General features: G+C 47.9%; 1 pseudogene; it reads left to right on the top strand.

The window, feature by feature from the left end:
• Positions 3,601-4,845, top strand: GAPDHP35 (glyceraldehyde 3 phosphate dehydrogenase pseudogene 35; annotated as a pseudogene).

Below are 9,928 nucleotides of genomic sequence, written 5' to 3'. Positions count from 1 at the left end.
CCATCCCTAATTGTAAACATTGCTTCCAGATGTTGCCTAACATCTCTTGTTGGGAAAATCGCCCTGGTTGTGAACCCCTGCTTTGGCATTGTGTCTTGGGTCGGCATCCAAATGTGGCATTACATAGTTCTTTCTTTTTCTGAGGCAGGGTCTTGCTGCACCCAGGCTGGAGTGCAGTGGTGCAATCATGGCTCACTGCAGCCTCAACTTCCTGGGCTCAAGTGATCCTCTCACCTGAAGCCTCCTGATTAGCTGGGACTAATTTTTTGTATTTTTATATTTTTTGCAGAGACGAGGTTTTACCATGTTACCCAGGCTGGTCTGAAACTCCTGGGCTCAAGCGATTTGCCTACTTCGGCCTCCCGAAGTGCTGGGATTACAGGGGAGAGTCACCATGCCCAGCTTCTCCTTGCTTTTTTCACTTAACGGTATATCCTAGAGCTCTTTTCATTACAATACATAGAAGCCTTCTTCATTATTTTATGGCAACAAAATATTCTGTTTTGTGGATTTACCATAGCTTATTTCATCACTTCCCTATTGATGATTCTGATGATTCCCTAGGCTGTTTCCAGTCTTCTAAAAAGAAAGTCAACAGTACCAAGCCACACACACACACACAGACACACACAGACACACATACACACACACACACACAATTTTCATTCATGTCAAGTAGCTCTATAGCATAAATTCCCAGGAGTGTTCAGAAAAAATAAATAAAGGAAAGAAAAAAGAAAATCTGAGCTATCTGATCAGGAAAAAACATCCCCAGAAATGAGACTGCTGAGTCAAAGGATAAATGCATTTGCAATTTTGCTAGATAATGCCAAATTGTCAATCACAGGAGTGGTAGCAATCTGCACAAGCCATTAGAAATGTACTCAAGAGCTTATGTCTCCTTCACCTCAATAGAGTCAAAAGGAAAATGACAAACTAGGACAAAATATTTGCAACTCATATCACAAATGAATGGCTATTCTGTCTAATATAAGAATTATTGGCTGGGCGCAGTGGCTCACCCCTATAATCCCAGCACTTTGGGAGGCGGAAGTGGGCAGATCGCTTGAGTCCAGGAGTTTGAGACCAGCCTGGGCAACATAGGAACATAGGCAGACCCCCATCTCTACAAGTAAGTAAATAAATAAAATATTAATGAGATGGATTCAATTGAAAGTGATTGAAATACAGAAGTGAGAAGTTCCTGAGAAGGTGGAAGTGGGTGAGATTCAAGGCCAGGTGTAAGTGTAGGTGTTTGCCCCAGTCTCTTTTCTTGCTTTCTTTCTTTCTTTTTTTTTTTTGAGACAGAGTCTCGCTCTGTCGCCAGGCTGGAGTACAGTGGCAGGATCTCAGCTCACTGCAACCTTCGACTCCCTGGTTCAGGTGATTCTCCTGCCTCAGCCTCCCGAGTAGCTAGGATTAAAGGCATGCGCCACCACGCCCAGCTAATTTTTGCATTTTTAAGTAGAGATGGGATTTCAGCATGTTGGCCAGGATGGTCTCGATCTCCTGACCTCATGATCCTCCCACTTCGGCCTCCCAAAGTGCTGGGATTACAGGCGTGAGCCACCGCGTCTGGCCCCCAGTTTCTTTTGTTTTTGTTGTGTTTTTGTTTTTTTGAGATAGAGTCTCACTCTGTCTCCCAGGCTGGAGTGCATTGACATGATCTCAGTTCACTGCAACCTCCGCCTCCCAGGTTCAAGCGATTCTCCTGCCTCAGCCTCCTGAGTAGCTGGGATTACAAGTGTCCACCACCACACCCAGCTAATTTTTGTATTTTTAGTAGAGACGGGGTTTCGCCATATTGGCCAGGCTGGTCTCAAACTCCTGACCTCGAGTGATTTGCCTGCCTCGGCCTCCAAAACTGCTGGAATTACATGTGTGAGCCACCGTGCCCGACCCTGCCTCAGTTTCTCCATTCATAAAATGGGGGTTCTCGAGCTAACCATGAAAGGCACCTAGCACTGTTCTTTGCTAAATGTAACTCATCCCTTTGCTGAGATCCAGGGCAGACTGGGCTTGGGACCACTGGGCAGAGGCCAGCCCTGGGAACAGGCCTTGTGCACAGGTCCTCCGAGTGCAGCCTGGAGGATGGTCGGTGTTCAGTGGAGGGCCTGAGCCACTCCTGGAGCCTCACCATAGGAGAGGAAGGGAGACCTTTAGCAAAGCCGGAGGAGGGAAACCTGCGGGCCTGGAGCCATCTCTTTGTGAGTCCACCCACAGCCTTCTTCAAAGCTCCACCAAGCCCACGATGGGGACAGATTGGCCCTAAATTTAGCTAAACATCAGGCCCAGATGGAGCTTTTAAGAAGCACAGTGCACAACAACAGTCATGAGCACTGTCAGTGGAAGCCCCTGGTTTACAAAAGAGGAAACAGGCGAGAAAGGGCAGGGGGCTATTTCCAGAGCTACACTGCAGGATAGGCCTGACTCCTGCTAACAAGTGTGTATTATGGGCTGGAATGTGTCCCCCTCCAAATGCATATGTTGAAGTCCTGACTCCCAGTGCCTCAGAATGTGACCGTATCTGGAGATAGCAACTTTAAAGAGGTAATTAAGTGAAAATGAAGTCATTGCGGTGGGTGGGGGGGGGGGGGTCCGAATCCAATGTGACTGGTGTCCCTATAAGAAGAGGAGATTAGGGCTGGGTACAGTGGCTCATGCCTATAATCCCAGCACTTTGGGAGGCTGAGGTGGGTGGATTACCTGAGGTCAGGAGTTCAAGACCAGCCTGATCAATATGGTGAAACCCTGTCTCTACTAAAAATACAAAAATTAGCTGGGCATGGTGGCCTGTGCCTGTAGTCCCAGCTACTCAGGAGGCTGAGACAGGACAATTGCTTGAACCGGGGAGGTGGTAGTTTCAGTGAGCTGAGATCACACACCTGCACTCCAGCCTGGATGACAGAGCGAGACACTGTCTCAAGAAAAAAATTAGCTGGGCATGGTGGTGAGTGCCTGTAATCCCAGCTACTTGGGAGGCTGAGGCAGGAGAATTGCTTGAATCCAGGAGGTGGAGGTTGCAGTGAGCTGAGATCGTGCCACTGCACTCCAGCCTGGGTGACAGAGCAAGGCTCAGTCTCAAAAAAAAGAAAAAAAAGAAGAGGAGATTAGGACACAGACATACAGAGGGAAGACCATGTGAAGATACAGGAAGAAGATGACCATTTAAGGCCCACTCTGGTGGCTTAAACCTATAATCCCAACACTTTGGGAGACCAAGGCAGGAGGATTGCTTGAGGCCAGGAGTTTGAGGCCAGCCTGAGCAACACAGTGAGAGCCCATCTGTCTTTTTTTTTTTTTCTCACTCTGTTGCCCAGGCTGGAGTGCAGTGGTGCGATCTCAGCTCACTGCAACCTCCACCTCCCGGGTTCAAGCGATTCTTCTGCATCAGCCTCCCGGCTAGCTGGGACTACAGGCGTGAGCCACCATGCTCGGCTAATTTTTTGTATTTTTAGTAGAGACAGGGTTTCACCATGTTGTCCAGGCTGGCCTTGAACTCCTGACCTCAGGTGATCCGCCCGCCTCGGTCTCCCAAAGTGCTGGGATTATAGGTGTGAGCCATCACGCCTGGCGGAGCCTGTTTCTTAAACAAAATTGGCTCTCTGCTCCTCCCATTCGACAGACAGCCGCATCTTTTCTCACATCCCTGAGAGCATGGTGAAGGTCGGAACAAATGGATTTGGTCGTATTGGGCGCCTGGTCTCCAGGGCTGCTTTTAACTCTGGTAAAGTGGATATTGTCGCCATCAATGACCCTTCATTGACCTCGACTACATGGTCTACATGTTCCGGTATGATTGCATCCGTAGCAAATTCCATGGCACTGTCAAGGCTGAGAACGGGGAAATCCCATCATCATCTTCCAGAAGCAAGATCCCTCCAAAATCAAATGAGGAGATGCTGGTGCTGAATACGTCGTAGAGTCCACCAGCATCTTCACCACCATGGAGAAGGCTGGGACGCACTTGCAGCGGGGAGCCAAAAGGGTCATCATCTCTGCCCCCTCTGCTGACGCCCCATGTTCGTGATGGGCGTGAGCCATGAGAAGTATGACAACGGCCTCAAGATCGTCAGCAATGCCTCCTGCACCACCAACTGCTTAGCACCCCGTCCAAGGTCATCCATGACAACTCTGGTATTGTAGAAGGACTCACGACCACAGTCCATGCCATCACTGCCACCCAGAAGACTGTGGATGGCCCCTCCAGGAAACTGTGATGTGACAGCCACGGGGCTCTCCAGAACATCATCCCTGCCTCTACTGGTGCTGCCAAGGCTGCGGGTAAGGTCATCCCTGAGCTGAATGGGAAGCTCACTTGCATGGCCTTCAGTGTCCCCGCTGCCAACGTGTCGGTCGTGGACCTGACCTGCCGCCTGGAAAAACCTGTCGAATATGACGACATCAAGAAGGTGGTGAAGTGGGCATCTGACGCCCCCTCAAGGGCATCTGGGGCTACACTGAACACCAGGTTGTCTCCTCCGACTTCAACCGTGACACTCATTCTTCCACCTTCGACGCTGGGGCTGGCATTGCCCTCAACGACCACTTTGTCAAGCTCGTTTCCTGGTATGAGAATGAATTTGGCTACAGCAACAGGGTGGCGGACCTCATGGCCCACATGGCCTCCAAGGAGTAAGACCCCCGGACCACCAGCCCCAGCAAGAGCATGAGAAGAAGAGAGAGGCCCTCACTGCTGGGGAATCCCTGCCACACTCAGTCCCCCACCCACCACACTGAGAATCTCCCTTCCTCACAGTTTCCATGCAGACCCCCTGAAGAGGGAGGGGCCTAGGGAGCCCCGCCTTGTTGTGTACCATTAATAAAGTCCCCAGCACTCAGCCAATCAATCAATCAATCAGTTTTAAAAAGATGATCATCTACAAGCCAAGGAGAGAGGCCTCAGAAGAAACCAACCCGGCCGACACCTTGATCTTGGACAATCTCCAAGTCTCCACAATTGTGAGAAAATAAATTTTTCTTGTTTAAACCTCCTAGTCTGAGGCACAGTTGTCCCTTGGTGTCCCTGGGGATTGGTTCCAGGACTTCCCACATATCAAAATTGGCAGATGTTCAAGTCTTCATATAAAATGTTGTATTATTTGAAAATAATCTATGCAGTATACTTTAAAACATCTCTAGGTTACTTAGAATACTTAATACAATGCAAATGCTATGTAAATAGTGGTTATACTGTATTTTTTATTGTATTTTATTGTATTGTATTTCACTTTTTTTAGAGACAGGGTCTCTCTCTGTTGCCCAAGCTGGAGTGCAGTGGGGCAACCAGAGCTCACTGCAGACTTGAACTCCTGGGCTCAGTTGATCGTCCCACCTCTGCCTCCAGAGTAGCTGGGAGTACAGGTATGTGCTACCATGCCCAGCCAATTTTTATAAATTTTTCTGAAGAGATGGTGGTCTCATTTCGTTGCTCAAGCTGGTCTCAAACTCCTGGCCTCAAGTGATTTGCCTGCCTTGGCCTCCCAAAGTGCTGGGATTATAGGTGTGAGCTACTGAACTCAGCCTAGTATTGCTCTTTTGTTTCTTTTTTTGAGATGGAGTCTCACTCTGTCGCCCAGGCTGGAGTGCTGCAGGACAATCTTGGCTCACTGCAACCTCTGCCATCTGGGTTCAAGTGATTCTCGTGCCCCAGCTTCCCGAGCAGCTGGGATTACAGGCACACGCCACCATACCCAACTAATTTTTGTATTTTTAGTAGAGATGGGGTTTCACCATATTGGCCAGGCTGGCTTCAAACTCCTGACCTCAGGCCATCTCCAGCCTCGGCCTCCCAAAGTGCTGGGATTACAGGCATGAGCCACTGCACCCAGCCTATTACAGTTTTTTTTTTTTCCAGATATTTTTGACCTGTGGTTGGTTGAATCTGTGGTTGCAGAACCTGAGGATGTGGAGAGCTGGCTGTTTTTTGCCATGGCAGCCCTCACATACTAATGCAGTGCATTTCCCATTCATGTCAAATACATCTGAAGGCAAGTGGTCCAAGATGCTATGGCCACAACACAGAGTCTCACGCTCCACTTTCTCATCCACCTTCTATTTGCAAGGTCACTTCTTGGGCCAACATGGCTGCTGGAACTGCCTTACTCCAAGCAACAAGGAAGTGGGGAGAAAGCTTGTGTTCCTTCCTTTTAAGGCAACTTCCTACAAGTCCCATAGAGCCATTTTGCTTACATCTTATTGGCCACCGCTTAGTCACATGATGACACCTAGCTGCAAGGGAGGCTGGGAAATGTACCCAGCTAGAAGTAAAAGTTTATTCCTAAGGAGAAGGGGGAGAATGGATGCTGGGAGAGGTACCCAGTGGTCTCTGCCACAAACTATGATCTCAGACCACATACTGAAGAAGGCATGAAGAACTTTCTTACTTTTTCCATAAATCAGCATACTTTCTCTTCCTTTCCTTTCCATTCCTTTTTCTTTTTTTTTTCTTTTTTTTTTTTTGAGACAGAGTCTCACTCTGTTGCCCAGGCTGGAGTGCAGTGATATAATCTCAGCTCACTGCAGCCTCTGCCTCCCTGGTTCAAGCGATTCTCCCACCTCAGCCTCCTGAGTAGCTGCGATTACAGGTGCACACCACCATGCCTGGCTAATTTTTATATTTTTAGTAGAGATGAGGTTTCACCATGTTGGCCAGGCTGGTCTCAAACTCCTGACTCAGGCGATGCACCTGCCTTGGCCTCCCAAAGTGCTGGGATTATAGGCATGAGCCACCATGCTTGGCCACTCAGCATAATTTCTATTGCAAGCTAAGATGGCATTTTCACCTATGTGAATGTGTATATTTCTTGGTAACTTTTGAAGTGCCAAACTATGGTGGGCAGTGTCTGTACTGAAGTCCTCTGTCCATGCAGGTGTGCCTGAGACATCACCCCTCAGCCATTGACCCCCTGGCTTTCAGCTTACACAGGCTGCTTGTTTCTGTCTGTGCAGCTCCTTCTGCCTCTCAGGACCATGCTCAAGGCTCAGAGAATGTTCCACTACTCTCATGCCCACTGAGAACTAGGGCATTGTGTGAAGCATTCTCCCCTCTGCTCTTTTTTTTTCTTTTTGAGACAGGATCTTGCTCTATCCCTCAAGCTGGAGTGCAGTGGTGTATCATGGTTCACTGCAGCCTCAACCTCCTGGACTCCAGCAATCCTCTTATCTCAGCCTCCTGAGTAGCTGGGACTACAGGTGTGCACCACCATGTCTAGCTTACCTTTGTATTTTTTTGCAGAGATGGGGTTTCGCCATGTTGCCCAGGCTGGTCTCCAACTCCTGCACTCAAGTGATCCCCTGTCTTGGCCTCCCAAAGTGTTGGGATTACTGACGTGAGCCACCATGCCTGGTCCCATCTGCTCTGGGCTTTCTCAAGCATCTCTCTGGAGTCTCATCGCTTTTCCCCAAAGAAGTGGAGTTCAGAGCTTTTCCCTCTGAGATTTCCCAAACTCTCTCTTTTTTTCCATTACTTCCCCTCTGCCTTTCTCTTTTCTCCCTACCCCAGGGGCATCTGAAAGTGACAAGTCCTATTTTTGGCCTTTATCTTTCTCCAATAAGGACTTAAGCTATTGGGATATAAAAGCCCGAAACTCATGGATTTTACCTGCTTTCCACCCTCTCCCATTTCTCTACTGAATATGAGACAAAGACAGGTTTTGGATTAACATTAGGGAAGAAAGAAGAAAATAAAATATCAGGCTAGACATGGTGGCTCACACCTGTAATCTCAGCACTTTGGGAGGCTGAGACGGGAGGATTGCTTGAGCCCAGAAGTTTGAGACCAGTCTGGGGAACATAGTAAGACTCCGTCTCTACAGATAATAATAATAATAATAATAGTAAAGGTTTTTTAAAATCAAGAAATTAAATAAAACATCAATCTGTGTCTCAAAAAATATTCTCCTGCCATATTTACAATAAAGTGTCCTGTGGTTGGCACTTTTTGGCATTCCTCACTTCCCTCTCTCTTGCTACTGCCACTATTTACAGTCTAGAAAAGCTACATTTTCTCAGCCTCTCTTGAAGCTTAGGGAGGTGGTATTTCCCAGTCCTGGTCAATAAGATAGGGACAGAAGGCTGTTCAAGGTTTACAGGAAAGCTTTGAAAAAAGAGGGTCCAGGTGTGGCTGACATCATTTCTTTCCCTCTGCTTCCTACTTATAATGTGAACATGGCTGGGTGCAATGGCTCACACCTTTAATCCCAGCACTTTGGGAGGCCGAGGTGGGTGAATCACCTGAGGTCAGGAGTTCGAGATCAGCCTGGCTAACATGGTGAAACTCTGTTTCTACTAAAAATACAAAAAATTAGCTGGAGGTGGTGGTGCATATCTGTAATCCCAGCTACTTGGGAGGCTGAGGCAGGAGAATTGCTTGAACCTGGGAGGTGGAGGTTACAGTGAGCTGAGATCATGCCATTGCACTCCAGCTTGGGCAATAAGAGTGAAACTCCATCTCAAAAAAAAAAACAAAAAAAAAAAAGGTGAACGTGAACACAATGCCTGGAGCTGCAGCAGTCATCTTGCAACCATGAGGAAAAGGCTAAGAAAATCATACAGATGCCATGGCATCATAAGCAGCTGTATCTATATAGTATCATTTATTTACTATTAAGAAAGAAAAATAAACCCCGTTTTTAAGTAAACATAATCCCCAGGACATGGTAGGAGCCCCTGGATCAGGCTATGCCTGAAAGCCACCTACATCTAGACTTTTAGACTTTTGTTACTTGCTGCTGAAAGCATTCCTAATGTATATATGTTATTAAATTAACACAAATGCTTTTCTCTTTATTGTCACAGACTATGCCCAGATAGTAACAGAGTGACAGGCATCTTGAATTTTTTTTTTTTTTTAGATGGAGTCTCACTCTGTTACCCAGGCTGGAGTGCAATGGCACGATCTTGGCTCACTGCAACCTCTGCCTTCTGGGTTCAAGCTATTCTTCTGCCTCAGCCTCCCATCTTGAACTCTGAACCACACGGATGCAAGACCATTTCTAACCATCCTTCTATCATGCTCAGCCCAGGTCCTGCCACCAATTCTGTCCTGAGGGTTCCCATGCCAGACTCTAATTTTCAGAGTGAGTCAGGTATGTAAGGTAATGTTCAGGGCATACTGAGTGGAAACTCTTGATGGAGATAGACAGGCTGTAGAATGGAGATAGTCCTCCATTATTGTCAACCTTAGGACGCACCACCTTACCTTGGTCCCCCTTTCTCAGCAGCAGAGCTCATAAACTGAGTGTTTGGAGGAAGTCCAGACCCGTCTACTGGAAGTCTTCTACAGGATATGTCATTGCTACGGTCTGAATGTTTGTGTCCCTCCAAAATTCACATGTTAAAACCTAACCCCTACCATGATGGCATTGAGAGGCTGGAGCCTTTGGGAGGTCATTAGGTCGTGAGGGTTCTGACCTAGTGAATGGAATTTATGTCCTTATAAAAGAGGTTTGGGCCGGTGTGGTGGCTCACACCTGTAATCACAGCACTTTGGGAGGCTGAGGTAGTGGACTGCTTGAGCCCAGGAGTTCAAGGTCAGCCTGGGCAACATAGCAAAACCCTACAAAAAATACAAAAATTAGTGGGATGTGGTGGTGCATGCCTGTAGTCCCAGTGACTCAGGAGGCTGAGGTGGGAGGATCACCTGAGCCTGGAAGGTCAAGACTGCAGTGTGGCCGGGTGCAGTGGCTCACACCTGTAATCTCAGCACTTTGGGAGGCTGATGCGGGTGGATCATTTGAGGTCAAGAGTTCAAGACCAGCCTGGCCAACATGGTGAAACCCCATCTCTACTAAAAATACAAGAAATTAGCAGGGCAGTAATGGCACGCACCTGTAATCCCAGCTACTCAGGAGGCCGAGGCAGGAGAATCATTTGAGCCTAGGAGGTAGAGGCTGCAGTGAGCCCAGATTGAGCCACTGCACTCCAG

The sequence above is a fragment of the Homo sapiens genome, chromosome 16, assembly GCF_000001405.40.
Source record: "Homo sapiens chromosome 16, GRCh38.p14 Primary Assembly".
Taxonomy (NCBI): domain Eukaryota; kingdom Metazoa; phylum Chordata; class Mammalia; order Primates; family Hominidae; genus Homo; species Homo sapiens.
This window is presented reverse-complemented; position numbering and strand designations above follow the sequence as displayed.